This window comes from Homo sapiens, chromosome 8, assembly GCF_000001405.40.
Source record: "Homo sapiens chromosome 8, GRCh38.p14 Primary Assembly".
NCBI lineage: Eukaryota > Metazoa > Chordata > Mammalia > Primates > Hominidae > Homo > Homo sapiens.
Genome location: NC_000008.11, coordinates 78,597,429 through 78,617,238, shown reverse-complemented (window position 1 = coordinate 78,617,238; position 19,810 = coordinate 78,597,429). Strand labels below are relative to the sequence as shown.

The 19,810-nt window shown below is 35.0% G+C and overlaps 1 protein-coding gene and 1 long non-coding RNA gene across 7 annotated transcripts in view; one reads left to right on the top strand and one right to left on the bottom strand.

The window, feature by feature from the left end:
* LOC105375911 (uncharacterized) overlaps positions 1 to 19,810 on the top strand; it is a 268,808-nt gene that overhangs the window by 48,741 nt on the left and 200,257 nt on the right. The window lies entirely within an intron of this gene.
* PKIA (cAMP-dependent protein kinase inhibitor alpha) overlaps positions 11,972 to 19,810 on the bottom strand; it is an 88,928-nt gene continuing 81,089 nt past the window's right edge. For all 6 annotated transcript variants that reach the window (XM_017013620.1, NM_006823.4, NM_181839.3 and 3 more), the window contains 2 exons: positions 18,704 to 18,881; positions 11,972 to 15,497 (listed from right to left, as the gene is read on the bottom strand). In XM_017013620.1, coding sequence (XP_016869109.1) covers positions 15,418 to 15,497; positions 18,704 to 18,854 — 231 coding nt within the window. In that variant the 5' untranslated portion in view covers positions 18,855 to 18,881 and the 3' untranslated portion in view covers positions 11,972 to 15,417. The remainder of the gene's footprint in view (positions 15,498 to 18,703; positions 18,882 to 19,810) is intronic.

Here is a 19,810-nt window from a genome sequence, read left to right as displayed (position 1 = left end):
TTAATAATTGGGGGAATTGTGTGCAAGGTTTATATGGGAACTTTCTGTAATGTATACTCAATCAATCTGCAAATCTAAAACTGTGCTAAATGATAAAACCTATTATTAGGCTGGTTGAAAAGTAATGTGGTTTTTGCCATTAATTTTAAGGCCAAAAGCTGCAATTACTTTTGCACCAACCTAATAATAAAAAGAGTTTCAAGGGACTTAATAATAATTACAGCGTATGGATCTATTATGAACCCAGATTTAACCAACTAACTATATAGTCACTTATGAGACAATTGCAAACTGGAAGGGTGACTATTTTATAATAAGGCATTATTCTTTCTTTAAGTTATAATAATGCTATTATGATTATGGGCAAAACACTATTTCAGAGATGCAAACCGAAGTATTTAAAACTAAAATGATAGGATGTTTGGATCGTCCTCAAAGTAATCCAGTGGGTTATACTTCCTGTGGGAATATAGACAAAAAAAGATTGTCCGAGAATGTTGGAGCTGGATAATGGCTACATGGAAGTTCATTACACTACTTTTTACTTGATATATGCTTACCATTTTCTATCAATATTTTTAAAAATTATAATTCATATTAGAGAGCTATAATGAGTGTTTGTCTTTAGTAATCAAATATATTATCTCTTCTTGTGAATTGTTTCTTCAGTTATTTAAGCAAGCGTTCATCTATGATAATATAACTGTGCTGTATTTCTCAAAAAATAATTTAAAAAAGGGAGAAAGAAAATATTTCTGATAGAGTTTAAAGAAATATCTTGTATACCTGTGTGTTCAGTGGCATGGGTTCAGTTAACTTGTTTGTTATGTTTGTTACCTGTGTTAAAATAATAACCATTCAATCCTCTCTCATCTGCAGACCAGCACTAATCACTAACGTGTTTTGAGTAAAACATAAATATGTTCTGTGTCACTTTCCCAACAGCATCTTCATATTCCAATAAAAAGTGATTTAAGTACTTAATTAGTCTTGGGTTAATTTATCTAATCATTTAAAAATTATGTGATAATCTTAGCTGCTCTTATTGTCTATTGATATGTGTTTCTTGTATTCAAAATATTCTGTAAAGTTTATAAGTATTTAAGTCAAATATTTATTACTTACTCAAAATGCAATATATTTCACCTTTTTTTTCTACTAAGGCAATGCTTCAAAAATTAAGATTGTTGATAATTCATAGTTTAAAAATTTGCTTCAGTTAATTATTGTTTTGGCAAAGTCTCCTTCATTTCTAGCAGGTAGTTCCAGTGCTATGTTTCTGTCAAGGCATGTTTGGTACTTCCCAAGAGGTTTATTCTGTTGCCAAGTAAAGACACTTAAGCAAACAAAAAAGCCTGTATTTTTTTGGCCATATCTGATTGACCAAGGAGATTTTAGATCAGGAAAACTTACATGAAGCATATTCTGATTAGCTAAAGATAACAAAGGCAAACTGTACTATAAGATCTTGGAGTCTTAGGGAAGATATTCTTGATAAATATATTAGAATTGCCAGGCAAACATTTTAATTCATTTCAAATTGGTTTTCCTAAGAATATTTTGAAGCTTATGTGCATATATTAATGGCTCACAAGTCGATTGAGTGAAAAAGGGGACCTGTTGTGTTCCACAGTGTTCTTGGAAGACAGTCATATTGGCTACCACAGTTGACTTGTTCCCTGATTGGTATCAAGCCAACCTACATTGCTTTTCTGAGTAAGCAGTTTTCTAAAACAAAATCTTTTTGTTGTGCTTTAAGAGACACAGGGTACTTTTTTTTCTCTCTTAGAACTGCATATGGCCACCAGGAGGCAGATATCTATTACTTATTATTTGTCATATTTATAGAAATAAAGATTATAAAATAGAAATATAGAAACATAGAAAAACACAGAAATATATAAAGATATACTTTTATTTTTTACTTGTGATATATGAAAGACTGGTTTAATTATTGTTAAGTAACCTGGCTTTCCTATCTGATTGAGAAATATGCTTTATTAAACACAGGTATTTATTCAAAGACACTTATAGTAAATATTTGATTACCCAGAATGTCTGTTATGTGGAGTTTTCTTAGGTCTGGGAGGAAAATACTTTTTATTTTACTATTGTATAAATAATTTTAAAAGTTAGCTTTTCTAGTTGAGTAAATAGATTGACAATCATCATAGCCCCTATATATCTTGTTAAGAATATGTGAGTTTCAGGACTAACTTTTCAGCCAGAAAATACTTCATCAGTGTGAATGAATAACATGTCAGTGTTACGTTAATCACATAATTAATACTATATGTGAAAGTAGGTATTTATTTAAAGACAGCTTTCATGATATATCTAACTAGCAGAAGAGGAGTCTCTCTTAGGCCAGAAACTGGAATGGGAGGAAGAGCCTACAGCTAAAAAGGGGAAATTTTCTAAACAGTACCTAATCTTTCTTTGGAGGACCCCATGCACAAAAACAAAGGCCTGGAGATCCTGGGCTGAGGTTAACTAGATTATAAAAATTTTAAAAAATTAAAAAGAAAAATCTTCCTTTAGTCAGCTGGTCAATCTATACTTTCTGTTTTTCTTCCTTTTGTTCTTCCTCAATGTTTACCAGACTCTGCCTGGTCTCAGTTTTACTCAGGGAGCCAAGAGAATGGGATTTTATCTGCACTTAAATCAGAAAATTATCAAGAAAGTAGCTGTCAGAGGTGCCAAAGGAAATGTCATCAAATGACTAAGTCTGTCCGATGCTTCTTATTGTCCTTCCAGTGCCAATCTCTGATGGCTTTATATTTTATATAATTAAGAGAATTTATGCCCCTTTCTACTATCTAGTGACATTGTGAAACTGCAAAGATAACAGTTGTTAAGAAAAAGTTAGGACTGAATTTCTTATGTTGACTTGAAGATAGTCCTGAAGTATTCTCTCTCTCTCTTTGTCTGTCTCTTTTTCTCTGTCTCTGCATTTCTTTCTCTTCATTTCATAACTCTTGATTCAAATAGTTAATAATACTTTGCTCCACCAAATTCGGATTTTCTACACTAAACTAGAGGAAACCCTCTAATATAAATATTTGATTTGCTGGGATGCAATTAAACTGAGTTTTATGACTGTGGTTAAGTCATTGGATAGCAAGCATCTTGAAAATATCTGACACATATTAGGTGGGAACTCCTTCATATCTGTTCAGTAAATAAATGAATAAAATCTCTGTGCAGATGAGGGTACTAATTTATGAGAGCTAAAAGCCATTTGACTGCTCTCTGAGTCATTTAAGACTATAATCAACATATCTCATATAACGACAAAACAACAACCATATTAGAAGCTAATATTTATTTACATAAAGTGCCAGGCACTGTTCCCAATACTTTACATTTATTGATTAATCTCAACCTTTTAACATTCTTCTTAGGAGCTATCAGTCAACATTCCTAAGAGATGCTATATTATTTCCTTTTACAGATAGGAAACTGAGACTGGGATTGGTGAAGTAAATTGTCTAAAATCATACATTTAATGAGTAAGGAGTATAGATTCTGAGGCTATGGCGATTAAAATAAGCTTTTCATATATTTTTTTTCCAAGTGTTTTCTAAAATTGTCAGTCATTTGGAATTCCACTGGATAGACAGATGACAAATCAAGGTGTCTCTCTGATATTTGGGGAACTCGTAAAATTTCTGATTCTCATGGTGGCAGCAGTTAGTGGAACTGGGTACCACCCACCACCTCTCTCCTAGTTGATGAATGACTCAGAGGTGTCATTCAGTTGATGAATAATAGAGGTGAAGACTACTCTTACCACCAGCATTATTTATGCATCCCTCCTCTCCTACTTTGCCTTGTACCACCTGTTCCTCGCCAATACCGAGGGGCTCCATACTTCCAACAAACTTTAGACTGAATCATATCTAGCAGCTTGAGTCTGGAGCTCATTTCTTTTTTTTCTCTTCCTCCCAAGTAAAGGTGGGTAGTGGCTGAGAGGTGTGCAGGAAGTGCCGGGTAGAGAGATTGAGGAAGAAAGTTGAAACTGGGAGGATGCAGAATGGAGAGCAACTGATTAGGCATTCTTGAAAATTATAAAAATCATGAAGAGATAAAATGAAGGAGAATAGTGATATGTGAGTAGGAGGAGAGGAATGTGGAGAGACACAATGTAAGTGAGGAAGCTCAAGTAGGAAACTGGCAGAAGCAGGCAGGTGGGCTGAGTAGGATGGAGTCAAGAAGGAAGACAGCTGTATTAGGATATTGTCAGATTGATCCACGAAGGGAGAGAACAGATGGTCATGTTTTCCCTTTCTCAACAGCAAGTGCTGTCTTTGCAAAGTCAGACTCATTCAAAATATTCTTGTATGGGCTGGAAGTACAACAAGGCATTGTTCTGAGAGCACAGAAAAAAGCGAGACTGTGAAGCAATTGTAATTCCAGTAAATGACAGGCCAAATGTTGCTGGGTGTTTAATACATCTAGAAGCAGTTTATTCAGGACTTATTAAATCATAGAGCCTAAGGATTCAGTCCACTTTTATGCTTTTCAGATTGGCTAGAGTTAGGAAATATTTTAATTGATGATAACTTTCTGATTATGTCAGTGAGGGAATGCTATTGTATTAAAGGCAACAATTTTGAGTTTTCATAGTAAATATATTTTAAATTACTTAAATCTGAAGCAGGTAAATGACCAACAGGAAGAACAAATGCTGTTTCTACAGAAATTAGCTTATGGGACCAGAGGATCTGTGTGGTAATGAGATGGGCTAGAGCAAAATGTTGGGAAATTATGTACCAAGAAAAGGGGAGTAAGCCTGGGACTTATAGCCTGTTCAGCAGGGAACTGACATCTGTGATACTGGCTTCACAAAGTTGTCATCCATCTGATCTTTTGATAATGAGGGAAAGGAAACTCAGATGAAAAAATAGATGGATAGTTCAGGAAAGGCAAGGACAGGACCAAATCCCTGGGATCATGCAGCTAAGAAGAGCTGAACAGAGGTGGAGCCAGCTTGATGGTTCAGAACTGAATGGAGATGGGACCTGCATGGACGAGGGGATATAGTGGTTTGAAGGACCTGTACTTCCTTGGGTAAACACTTCTAAAATATGAATAGGTTTGCAGGTGAGTTATGATTTTGGGAGCTTCAGGTTGACCTGAGAAACATGACAATAGAACTCCACAGAAGAGTGACTTGCAATGAGCCTTCATAAATGCATTAGGTGACCATTCTGGGCTGAACTTCGGAGCCTACTCTGGAGGGACAGATGAGGATTTAGCATTCACCAGTCTCAGAGGATACAGTTCTTTCTAGTGAGTGATGACTAGAAAGGAACATGACAGGAGCTTCCAGTATGTTAAGATATTTGGATCCTTGATCTGGATGTTGGTTACCTGAGTGTTCATTTTAGAAAAATCCATCAAATTGAACATTTATGGGTACTTTAAAATATTTATTATACTTTAATACAAAGCTAAAAAATACCTATGCCTGAACCTCTCCTTACAATAAAATCAAAATCTACGGAAATTTGGCTGAGTTCTTAATCTTTAAAAAGTTTTCCAGCTGATTTGGACAGGAAACCAGAGTTGAGCATCACTGAGAAATAACTATACACATACATGCACACTGTACACCTCCATCCTGCAAAAGTGAATCCTCTCCTTGTTTAATTGTCAGAAAGCAGAATACGGTATAGAGTTCTGTGCTGTATAATATGGTAGCCAAGACATTTGAAATTTGGCTGGTCTGGATTGAGATGGATCAGAGAAGATGGACATAATTTTTAGTCCTGCCTTTGCAACATAAAACCTACATGGCCTAAGAGAAGGCTCTTAAGTTCTCTGAGTCTAAGACTGCTCACTTATAAGGAAATAAATATATTCATATTTCAGAGTAACTATGAGAAAGAGGTAATATAATCAAGCATCTGAAACATATTCAGAACATAATAGTTACTACTACTCTGAGAAAAGTCTTCTACCCCCTTCCTATGGTGCAATATAAAAAGACATCTTTCTCTTATACTTGAACCACATGTTATGAGTGGAGACAGAGGGTGCCTTTAAAAACTGAGGAGTGAATCAGGGCAAGGGCATGAGTAGGATATGGATAAAGGACAGCAGCAGCTGCTTTGCCAGAAAGAACCCTATCTGTGCCTCATTGTATGCACCTCTGCTGCTTCTCATTTACCCTCTGACATCTCTTTGGCTTTTCCAGCTACTAAATTATTAACCTTTGAATAAGTCCTATGTCTACTTTCATCTCTAGCCCTTAGCCTACCTTAAAAAATTTAACTCTCACTTTCAGAATTCTTTCATTTCTGTGTTAGGCTCCTCAGCACGAGCCTTATCTGCGGCTCAGGGTCCTTGTGTGTGGGACATGCCTTGATGTTTACAGTTTTCTCTGACTGGTCTGGGAGCTGGCCTGCCAGCCACTTCTGAACTATTTCAGGCACACCCTCAAATCCTTACTGACTTTCATTAGCTTTGGAGGCTTCCAGGTCCTTCTCCATAGAGTCTCAGATATCTTCTCCACCTAGTCTAGTGTCTCTCCTCAGGCTTAGCATGTACACACTGTGCTCTGGCTAACAGGGATTATTTTTAAATTATATGATCTTGTTTTCCTACCTGTGTACCTTAGTTTATGTCAGTTTTTCTACACAGAATGCCTAATTTTTCTTTCTTCAGTGAAATACTTATTCCAATAAATAATTTCAGTGATTCATTTTTCATAATATATCCTGTCAAGTGAGGTTTCTTTCCCAGAATCTGTATGGGATGTTCCATGTTCATTTGCTACTATTTAGCAGTTTCAGACATTTATCATAGATATGTATGTGCTTCTGTTACCATGTCTATTAAATGAATATCCTTTAATAAACCATCAGGTCCCCTGTGGCCTCCTCTTTGTATAGAGCCTAATTCAAAAAAGTTTCATCTGAAATCCAGAAATAATTGAAGAGAATTCCCAATATTTACTTACATACCTTTTAGGATATTAAAGATCTTATTCAGAACCTATAAAAGGTCCTTTTCTCTCCTTCCCAATTTTGTTTCATTCTGTATTTTCATTTAAATGTCTTACTTGTCAAACCTCTCAAACTTATTTTAAAAACCCATATCACTGCTTTAAAAATCCTCCTTGTAATTCTTTATTCTAAATTACGCATGTTGACTTAAACATGTTAAACAACTTTTTAAAAATCTGTTTCAACCTTTACCTGGTTTATTCTCAACAAAGGAAACCTCTAGCATTGTTTATCTGAGAATCTTCTTTTTCCTCTTATCTCTCTAACTTGTATATCTGTTCTCCCAATTCTGTGTTGCAAAAGGCCTAGTAATCAGCTGAGAAAAAACTAAATTCTCATTAGATGGTAGAATTGAATAATAGGTTCTTAAAAGGAAGATGGAGTGGTGATGGGGGAAGACTGGAAATACTGATAGGAAAACTATTGTCCCCATTATTATTTCAGTTTTTATTGGTCTATTGGATTCTGTGGTCTTTTAAAAATTTCTCTTTTATTACACCTAATAAAAAAAGACTTAAACTTAGTAAATGCTCAAATTTTATTTCCTAGACAAATTTGATGATTTGTTGAATTGTATTTAGGACTATCTGAGAAGGCAGAATAGGTTTTTTTACCCTTAAAACTTCATGATTATATCTTGGCTTGTGAATTTCAAAGAGGATATGGGATAAAAGAAAACTTAGAAATTCAACAGGACAGTCATAATAGTCACACCATCCTACTCAAACAAGGTGTAAAATGAATCATGGCAGCCAAAGTTTAAACATGTTCTATTAGCAGTAACCTACATCATCACCTTTGTCAGTCTTTTTCTTAGTTTCAGAGTCCAAAAGTTCACAGTACTTCTTTAGTCTTGTTAGATCTCCAAAGTTAATTTTATTACCAGTGTTTTTTTAAAAGATAACACTATTCAGGAAAAGGTCTTTAAGGTTCTATACATGTATATCAGTGAGCTTTCTTTCTTGAGTATATAAAAATGTGTTTCTTAATCCCTTTCTACAATTTTTCCCCCTTTTTTCTGTGAATTCCTGACACTGAGGTTTATTCTATTGTTATTAGAACTCTCATTTCTTTAGGCTGTTTGAGTGCATTTCTGTAAGGCATATTCTCAGAAACTCCAGTGAACTTTTGTTCAAGGCCTGCAAGATCCTTCCTGGAGATCCTCCTCTCTGAACAATGTATTGCTTAGGCCAAAAGAGTAAGATATAACCCCCTTTTGGCTCATCTTAATTCCAGCAAACTGAAGATAATTCCTGCTACAGAATTCCCAGAAATAAATTTACCAAAGGCTTATTTAGCTGGATGGCTTACCTTAATTTGCCCATCTAGTTACGTGTTGTCCTATTGGACATCTCATTTCTCTATGTCTTATCAAATCTTTGTGCGTGTGTGTGTGTGTGTGTGTGTACAAATGCAGCACACCAGTTTGCAATAGAAATTTTAAAATAGTTACTCTTGTATAAACTAAAAAAAATGGTGATAGGAATTAAGTTTTTATCCTCTGCAATGCAATATTCTTGAGACGTCACTATTTTCAACCATGAATTTTATCTCTGAATTGCATTTTCCCTAATCGATCTATGTGTAGATTCTCTCTCTTAACTTCATTATGAGCTTCAGGAGGGCAGATATTATTTATTTACAAATATCTACTGATGTTTGTACTGATTAGCAATAACCTACATAGATAAACAGTGAGTATACAAAGATGAATAAAACGGAGTTGATGCCCTCAAAAAGCTCACACTCAAGGTGGAGAGATATGCATGCAAATAAATAGCTATGATATAGAGATCCATTTGTGGATAAATTGTTAGAGAGCAAGGAGTATAGAATGGCTGATTTCCTAGGGTAGGGCTCGGGAATGGAGATGAGTCAGAAAGACTACCGAAAAGGATGAAATGAGGCTTAGTCTGAAAGGATCAATGAGACTTTGCCCACAAGCATGAAGCACATTTTAGGAACAGGATAAAAGCTAACACAGAGCAAGGAGTTATACACAAATACAATGTGGTACTTATACCGTAAAGTTTGTCTGGCTAAACTTAAGGATTTTTTAATTAGGAGAGATACATGATCAAAATCATGTATCAGAGCAATACATCTGGTGGCAAGATGGCTAGAAAGAGTGCTGGATGAGGCAGGTCATGCTGAGCAGGCCATTGCATAATAATAGATAAGTAATGATTTAAGGGTTGGAGTGCAGATAAAAAGAAGTGAACAGTTTCAGTAGTGAAGAATTAGAATCGATTGACCAAAAAACAAACAAACACACAAATCAGAGGAAGAGGTAACAGCTAAAAGGGCTCCAAAAATTTTGATTTAAGGTCAGTGGAAAATCAGTGCTACCATGATCTGAAATCTGTAGCATATAAGGAAAAGCAGGTTTGAAAATGGGATTATGCATTGGATTTAGTATTAGAACATTGAATTTTAAGATTCTTCGAGCAATCCATGTTCAACTATCCAATAGGTCAGATAATGAGGAGTGACTCCTGGGCTAGAGATCAAGATATGAGATTCGCCATAGGAATATAGTTGCTGATGTGGGAGTGGAGGAAGTCATCTGGAGAGAGAGATTAGAGGAGAGGAATGAGAATGGAAACCCAGGGAACCATGAAATTTAGTGGAGAGGTAGACAAGGAGGAACCAGTCTTAGGTTAGTGAGGAGGTGTCAGAGAGAAACAAACAAGAACTCACTAAATAAAAAACATCTGGAAGAAAAAGGAAGGCAAATGAAGCATATCAAAAAGATTCCATGGTGAACCAGATTAAATGTCATTGAGTAAGCTAATAAAATATACAAAAATGATCCACTCTATTTCGGGTAGATATATTTGTTTAGGTATAATTCAGAGAAGTAGAGCAAGACTGGGATTTTACACATATATGGCTGCTGTTGAGAGGAACAAGTGATATCACTAACATTTATCCAAGAGTAGAATGGAACACAGAACTTTACAACATCACAAAGTAATCTTGCCCATCTATGAATGTCTAGGCTCTGTGTTGGTGCCCAGATATGTGACAACCACTCCTATAAAGAAATGAGCACTATAGGATCTGAGTACATAGCAAGCAAACATTACGGGGAGACTGTGGTCATAGAGCAAGGACATATCCATACATTATGGAAGTTCTATACTAGAGAGAAAGCTGACGTTTTCTTGATATATGTCGATTCTATATAGTTGAAAAATACTATATTATTCAGTGATACTCTGTCATACTAGTATCAATTAAAAATATAAAAACATTAAATTTTATTTTAGGTTAATCTGAGTCCTCTGAATCATCATCACCTTTTAATTTCCACATTGGTCAGAGATTCAATGACTATGGCAGAGACGATGAGCTACTAAAGATGTCATTGATAATGAGAAAAATTTTATTGGAAGCCAAATTGCAAAAGAATAAGAAATAAGGAGGAGAAGAAGCATGAAAATAGGGAGTATACATTACTATTTTGAGAAACAGAAGTGATGAAGCAAATGGGAAATTGAAAACTTGAGCACATTTGTGAAAAAGGGTAAAGTCAGTAAAGAAAAAGGATAATTAAGACATCCTGTTAAAGTCAGAATAAAGTGGTTTAAAAACATCAAATGAAGGAATAAATCTTAGCCTGAAAGTGGGAAGATTCCTCTGTCCCCAGGGACATGAAAAGAGAGAGCTGTGCAGCACTTATGTCTAGATTGAGGTTGCAGACAATGAATAAGCATTGTTTTAAACTTTTTACAGTCATCCAGAAGACAAGTAAAGAGAAGTGAGTGGCCTAATTGACTTTGATGGGGCAGAGATGGCAGAAAGGCAAGAAAATGTGGAACCTGAGGAGCACCTAGGAGAAAGATGAACAATAGAGTCCAGACTAGCAGGAAGGTTGCTGAGGAAGCACCCATATTAACCCAATCAGAAAGAAGATGTGGTGCAAATTAGAAAGTTAATAGGTTATAGTCATATAATTTTGTTAATTTTGACTTTAGTATTAAAGATGAAAAGGATCCTGAATCCCCACACCTGAATTAGACAGATACAAGAAATACACAATGAGTAGAGACACTAGAGGCTCTACAACTTATTTCACTGGTTAGCATTTTGTTGGTCCCAAGTCCCTATGTGGTGTTTTATTCTTGCGATCTGAGTAAGATGAACTTAAGTATTTACATCCCCTTTGCTTTTTGGACTGAAGAACGTGCCTGGATTCAGGCTGAGTGCTGTTTGATGCTTACTTTCTCTTGAGCTCCACCTTGGTCTCTGTTTGGTCATTACTGCCTGTGTGTGGTAAAAATAAAATGATGGAAAGAGAGAAACACTAAGATAAAAGAAGAGCTCTCTTTGCTTCTTTACCCTAAAAATTTACCCTTAATGCAGTAAAACCATGTGCATTACCCTTAATGCAGTAATGTGAGGATTGCATTTTGTTCCTGACTCATTTCAAAGCCTTGCAGTGGAGTGGGCAGGGTGGGTGCATCAGGAAGCCTTGAACTTCTAGATCAGTGGTTCTAAAGTGGTGGGGGTGCAGGTGGGTGGAAGAAAGGTATCAGAGTCATGCAGAAAGTTATTTTAAGAGAGAGTGTTTGTGTATGAATGTATCTATGTGGGGGGTGGGTAGAGGGTGGGTGCTGTAAAAACTTTCCAAGAATTCTGATAAACACCTGTCTTTCTCCTGACTGAATGTCATCTCCCTACAGATGAGCAAGTAAGAACCATAGGCATGGTATTGGGGGTTAAGATCTAGGAGGTGGGATGGTTCTGGTAGATGACAAAGACTAGGAAGTGGGCTACTCGAGTGGAATGGAGTTGAAAATGATTAGAATAAAGGCCAGGAAAGAGTGAAGCTGGAGTCCTGGGTTTGTCCACTGCGGGATGACTGAGGCATATAATTTCTCCTTTATCACCTGCAGCACTCTCTAGCACAAAGTACATAGTGTGAATTCAATAAATACTCTTAATAGACTGTGTACATTTCAGAAAAATGTGTTACTTTTAATTTTCAATTATGTGAGCATGCAACATTGCTAAATACAAAAGTCATACAAGCTCACAAATGACTTCAGAGACTGCCACTCTTGTAATTAAAGAACAATTTAGGGTCTATTAAGACATCATAAATCATAGATCCTTTCCTATTTTCACTTGATGACTACACATTTTCTCCCTACTACTACTGCTACTACAGGTTTCACTTAGAAGCTTTGCTGCCCGGCAGTTACATTTCTTTATCCATTATTGTTTCCCTGAAGAGAAATAGCAGTATCATTCATCTTCTAAAATGGTGCATTACCACAGCATCTAAGTAAGACTCAAGTATAGGGCATTTACCATTGGCTGTTCTGGGAGTATTATCTAAGAATTGGATTTCAATGTCTGTTATTTATTTTTAAAAATATTTCTATGAATTTATGATAATATGTTGGCATAGGATGATTACAATTGATAAAAGGTAAATTTAACAATTTCATGCTTGTTGCAAATAAGTCAAAAAGCCAAAGTCCCCATGTTTGTTGGTAATTAAACAAAATGAGTAGCATGAAACATAAAAAATATGAATCATGCTGTGTTTACAGACCACATGCCAGAAAAATATCTTCTGGGAAATATACCCCCCAAATAAGACATAATTGAATTTCTTTTTTTTAAAAAAGATATACTTTATGTGACCTACTCATATCTGTGTTATTACCCATCCAGGGAGCCTTGAGAACGGCAATTTCTCCTTCTGGGATTCAGTTTCCTTCTGTAAAATATGGAGGCTGAAGAAGTTCATCTCTAAAAGTTCCCTTACAGCTCTGCAGTTGGCTCTAATTTTATGACATGTGCCCTGGAAAGCTCCTTGGTGACAAACATGGGTTCAAATCCTCAGTTCATCACTTACTAGCTTTTTAAGCTTCTAAAGGTTATATTTTATTGAGTGCTTATATTTTAATCTGTGAAATTGGATAAAAATACCACTCTAATAGAATTGTTTGAGGATCAAATGGGAGAATAGGAGCTGCAAAGCCATTAGCGTAAGAATAGTTGGTTAATAGACATCCAATGCCTGTTACTAAACCCAAGGCCCTGGTTTCCTACCCTTTCCTTCTCTCCTTAAAAATTCAAATCCATATGTATTCTTGGCAAATAAAGGAAACTAAAATAAAATTTGAAAGATGCCATGAATAAGCAAAATGTATAGGATGTGGACATTTTAGAAAATTAATTTTTATCTCCCTAGCTTGGGAATGCCTTTGGGTTTGAATATAGCAGACAAAGCAGTAGTAAGAAGTCAAACTAAATCCAAAGCTCCATATGACTTTGCAATTTAGCACTATTTATATATTTAAAGACAAGCATGGCACCACATGCATTAATAACAGTATATCACATAGGAATATAAACCCTCCACATAGACTCAGCACTGGTTCTAAACTTTTCAAAATCACATAAAATCAGTTTGGAATTTCACAACCTTAAGAAAGAAGAGAAGTTTAAATTCACAAGAAACCTATTAAAATATTAAATGAGGATACTGAAAACTGACTGTAGGGGTTTGATGGTTTAAACAGTTTACCAGGGATTGCCTAAAATAACCCTAGGAACCTCTTTTCTCACTTGTAAGTCTATTAATAGGTGATGTGTTTGAATTTTACTGGGCATTTTGGCCCCTGATGGATTAGACAGAAGGAAGCATTCTAAAATTTAATCTTTCCTCGTTCTGCTCTCGGAAAGGCTCACATTATTAATTTTTTTTCTAGTAATATCTGATTGAGTACTAAATGCAACCATGCCCTTATTCCAGTCAGTTGAAATGCCCTGTAGAAGGAGAAGTGAGCAGACTTACCTTTTATCCTGTATGTAATTACATAGAAGGGCTGAGTTTCTGGCACAACCACACAAATTACCTATTGAAATGCTGCTCTACCTACTTCACGTGGCAAGGTATCTAAGCCCTCAAGGACAGCTAAGTGGGCTCGTTATTGTAAAGGGACTCCCATTGTCTGCTATTTGTCCAGTAATTCATGAACCATTGGCATATTACTGGTTCCTTATTTATTACCACTGACAAATGATTTCATAATACTGACCAGAGGGATTACACAGCTCACAAAAACTTTCCATATAAGAAGCACGATGTTAAAACACAGCAGAGGCCATCAAACACAGTATTAATGAGAATTTTGTTAGCTTCTAATGATAATCATTATTGTATCAGAATGCAATTCACACTAATTATTAGTAAAAGTTTACAAACATTAAAAAGTGCATAATAACATTTGGATCTGAGAGGGCTGAAAAAAGACATGAAAACACAACACCAGGGCTTTACTTTTGTGATTGGTGTCCACATGATTGCAAGGAGATTACTTTCTCCACCTGATTCAGCTTAGTGAAGATAAGTTGTCCTCCAAATTTAAATAGTATCATACAGCATTGTGAGAAATTTGATTCCATAGAACAAAATATTTCCAGTCCTTAGTATGATCTTGGCTTTTCTTTTCTACCTTTCCAATTGTCCAAAATTCTCATAAATTAAAATATATATATATATATATATTATGTGGGAGAAGTTCTCCACTTGAGAATAAAACAAATTTGACAGATTGAATTCCAGTCTGTGCAGACACCAAACAGACTGAATTCAGGTGATATTCACATTAATGGATATTTTCAAATGTCTCTATAATAAAGCAATGGAGTCTTGATGAATCTGTTAGACTTAATCAACTCATCAACATACAATGAGCAAGGGGAAAGACTGTGTTTTAAAAAAGGGTGTTCTATCCTGTGTACACCACCACAGTATGGAAAACTAAAATGAAAAGACAGCCCTTTTAAAAATGAGTGGTATAAAAATTCACAGTAATGTACATCATTTTGTTTTTCATAAGCAATCAGAGAAGGGGGCAGTGCTGAGCATATATATTGTACAATACAAAACAGTGTAAATAACACAGCAGTAACACACAGATACGTAATGCTAAAAACAGTGCTTTCTGGATCTTTCTTTTACTGGGTGAACACTTGAGCCAGAGATATTTAAACTCTGGGGTTCAATCAACCCTTCGCAATTAGACACAATTAAATCCTCTGACATTGTGAGGGGCCAGATGCTACAGGAAGAATCATCATCTAGGTCGGAGCTACTCTCTATAAGCATTTCGTCATATGATCAAGTGAAAGGATCCATACAAAAATGACGCCCAAACACAAGCCACATGATTTCAACCATTGCTAATGACAGAGGTAGGGAAAAGTCTGCCTGCAGCCACAGCCTCTGCCCTCATTTTTAACATGATAATGAGCAGGTTCCTGCAATGCAGCACAGCCATTTTCTTTTTCCTCTTTTCACTCATGGAAACAAATGCATTCCAGATACTCCTGGAGATTTGAGACATTTTCAGGTGTGGTCGAGGGTCAAAGTGGGGTGTTAGCTTTCAGATTTTGCTGCTTCTCCCTGGGCTTCCCCACTTTGTTCTGTAGAACTTCGTTGTGCATCTTCTTCACCTTCTGCAAAAGAAAAACGAAAACAGAATAAAGGCAAAATAAAAATGATTGCTTTTATTTACCAACTGTCAATATGTCATATTGGTAACTTCAGAAATACTAAATAGGCCTGAAACCTTGAAGGAACAAGTATATTTTCTTGGTAGTCAGTTCACCACTAAGAAAACAGCTTAAGTTTTCAAGGACTGATTAATTCTGTGAACTTGGGACAGCACGGCTCAAAAACAAAATAATATTCAAATTTTCAGAGTAGTTAGTGATCAGCCAAGCTTTGGATAAATAGCTCAGAAATCTCAAGGCCAGGTCATGTCACTTAGGTATAGTTTCACAGGTTGCAGAAATCAGAAATGTCTTTAAGTAGAAATCAGAAGTGGGAGCATGTTTACCTTTTTATGCCTGATTGTCTTATTTGAAGAAATATTTTAAAACTGCATTTTCTCCTTTTTATAGCACTTGATGATAACCCAGCTAATTTCTCAGAGGTTCTATTAGTTCAAAGTAAAAGCAATAGTTGAAAATGAAAGGACACTATGTCAGCTGGCCAGTCCCTTGTCAAATAGTTACAATGGCCTCTGGTCTGCCCTTAGAGAACATGTGCACAATTCCAATAAAACCACCCTCATAACTGCACCCTCAGTAGCAATCTTAGCCAGTGGTATGGCAAACATTTCAATGCTTTCACTCCATATTAGGTCACTTTATATAAGTGCAAGCTGTTGGCAATTCTAGACTCAGATTCAAATATCTGCATGCGATATTTTGTTATCAGGCAGCCAGTATGGCTTGGCAAACAAAATGTTTTCAGGTGTTGCAATAATATAAACAAATCAATATTTGCTGAGGGTTTGTTATCATAATTCAAATAAAAGCAGGTAAGTTGGATGGCCTATTCTTTGGACCATAATGTTATAAGGCAGTTTCTCCTCTACTCTTAGCAAGTACACACAAAGCACCTCACCATACTCCAACAACATTAAATCTTTAGGGAAATTAAAACCAATTCTTCTACATAAAAATATTTTCTTCTAAAGCAGTACCAAGGGTATGACCAGACATTATATATAATTTTCATGCACTATTTTATTGTGAGAGGCTCGCATGATGTGCAGATGGCCTGGTTCTGAGATGTGTAAATTAAGCATGCAACAAGAACTTGGTAAACAGGAGAAGCTTTTGGTAATCAAAGAAATGAAGTCAAATTAGGGCATATGTAAGACAGTAGAATATTTCAGGATGAAAGTGATTGTATAAATACAAGATGAGGAACTTGACTCCCATGGGGCTTGGGACCCTCTAGATGTCTGGGGACACTTCTCAGGGCTTAGCATTATGCTGAAAACATAGAGACTGTTGCTAAATAGATGCCTGTTAACAAATAAAGGTAAACATGAAGCAACAATATTGTTGAGTATAAACTAAAATGAAGCTGAAACATTTACGAATTACAAAAAAAATTCCTCACAATTCTTAGTGACGTTGAATTTGTCATTATATAATTGCCATTTTTTCTATTTTAGATCTTCATATTATACAGTTATTAGTTTTTTGTACTTAGAATAAACAAAGTTATTGCTTTGTATACTGTTCCTGGTTTTGGACTTTATAATTTTAAGAAAAACAGAAAATGTTGCAAGAGCCTAGTGAATTGCAATTAACATGCAAAAATATTTAGAAAAGAAGACATTTGGAAGTATAAAGATAATTTAAATTATTTTAAATTATTTAATTGTAAAATAATGCATATGAAATTATTTTATTTATATTTATTAATATTACATTTTAATTTATTATTTCAATAATTTATAATAATTTAATATGTTTTCAGGAAAATAAAACAGTCTTAGGGCTAACAATTCTCAACTTCAGGAAAAATAGAAAAAGAAGAAATTAAATTGTACTATGAATAAAAATATCCTAATATTAAGAGCAGCTAAAATTAATGCAGACTATTTAAAGTAGCATATTTGTATGAAAAATAAAATATAAATCTTATGCAAGACTGCAGCAAAAATATATTTATCCATCTCATGTTATGAAATTGGAATAATTCCCCATACAGTCTTTCTCAGAGCTGTTCTGGGAAGTAACTACTGGTAGCAATAACAGCACAACAATGAAACCTAAGATTTATACAGGTCTACATATTCCAAAGTGGTGATGTTAAAGTTTTATTATTAATCTGAATTTGAAAAGACCAGTCTGGGAAATACTGAGCTTTAGCCATTGAATAAAATACCATCCTTATATATTTTAAAGTAATGTTGCTGAGCCATTTCATTAATCTATATATACATATACTCTGACTCAGTTTTCTAATAATCTAAAGGTTTTACCTTAAAAATTCTAACAGCGAAGACATATTGAATAATTAAGAGTCAGAAACTGTGATAAGTGCTTTCCATGCACATAATATCAGGGTTTCCCTAATCATGAATTCTTTTTACTTTTAAGGGTTATTTTTACACAAGTCTTCTCAGGGAAACACATTCAGCTTTGATATCTGCAAAAGCTATGGGTGGAGGAACTATCAGGGGACTTATTCTAATACTCAGAAGTAAAACTGTCAAGTTTTTTAATCCATCAAACTTGTTTTTCTCTTTCATTAATGAAGATAGACTCCTTGGGTAAGAATTCAAGGCCCAGTAAGGAGACAAATTTTTCACAAACCCATTCTATCTGGAATAGGAAACCAAAGACCCTTTTACCTAAGAGTTACTAATGTAACAGATCATTTTACTTCCATTCTTAATAAAATTAGCCCTGGAGACTCTTTTTTACTAAAATTGTTCTTAGAATTGAAGTCTATCAGAATTACCTGTGAATCTTGTTAAATATCTACCTAGTAAATGTTAGAGGTGGCCAATATTGTCAAAGGTAGGAGCTCCAACTTTGTTAAATACTGTACATAAGCAATTTCAGCTTTTATAGAAATTAGGATTTAAAAAAACACACCATGTGTTTTATTGATTGCATTAATAAAATCAGATTAAGGACTCTGCATTTGAGTGGGAAGCCTTCTAAACAGACATCATTGAAAATAGAGCAGGAGTGATTAAGAGATTAGTCTCAGACTTTCATCTTGCCTTAGATTGTTTAAAACTCTTTACATTAGATTACTTTCAAAGATGGCTTTTCGTGCCTTAATCCCTCTTAGTAAAATGCCGCAAATCATTCCATGCTCATAGAGAAATGTGTGCCAGATGACTTACCTGTCTTGTTGATATCAAGACCTGCTAATTTCAAGGCTAATTCATTGCTGTTGCCACTTGCAGAGGAAACCAGGATATCATGTATTGCATTTCTTCTACCTGTTCTTCCTGAAGCAATAAAATCTGCATATGTAGTTTCCACATCAGTCATTGCTACCAAATATCCACATAGCAGGGACTACAAAAGAAAGGAAAATTAATAGGTGAATATAATGGTAGTCAATGCTAAACATTTAACTACCGACTTAGTATATGAATGTGAAACAATTGTCCTGTTTACAAGTTCACAAAACAAGTAATGCCTTTTCTGGTCCTAAGTATTTAGATCAAAGGTCTGGGAACCTTTAATGTACATATTTAAATATGTACATTTTTACATATTTAAATGTAATATTTAATATTCATTTAATATTAATATATTAATATTAAATGTAATAATATTAATTATTATTAATAATTAATAATACATATTATTATGTATTTTTACATAATATACAGTATTATGTATTATATTTGTGTCCATTTGTACTCAGTTTTTAGCTACCACTTATACGTGAGAACGTGCAGTGTTTGGTTTTCTGTTCCTGCATTAATTTACTTAGGATAATGGCCTTCAGCTCCATCCATGTTGCTGCAACAGACATGATCTCGTCCACTGTTGATGGGCATTTAGGTAGGATTATCAAGCCTGATAGTACATATTTAGGCTCTGAGGGTCATATGATCTCTATCCCAACTACTCAACTTTGTCCTTACAGTACAAAAGCAGCCATAGCCAATACGTAAAACAAATGTAATAAACAAACTTTACTAACAAAAATAGAGAATGGGCCAGATTTGGCCTGCATGCCATAGTTTGTTGACATTTAGTTTACATTATAAAATTTTCTTTCTCTAATACCATTTTAGTCATTCTTCAACTCCAGAGAGAACTTGAGATCAGGTGGGGGGTGCTAAGTAAAAAGTGGTTCATCCTAGGGGTAAGCACTAAGTGAGAGCATTGTCTGTACAGTCTGTTAATGAAATGGGCCAAAATTCAGTTTGCTTTTTATTACCACTATGCACCATGCACCAGCAATTCTAAATATTTTCAGTGATCAAATAGCG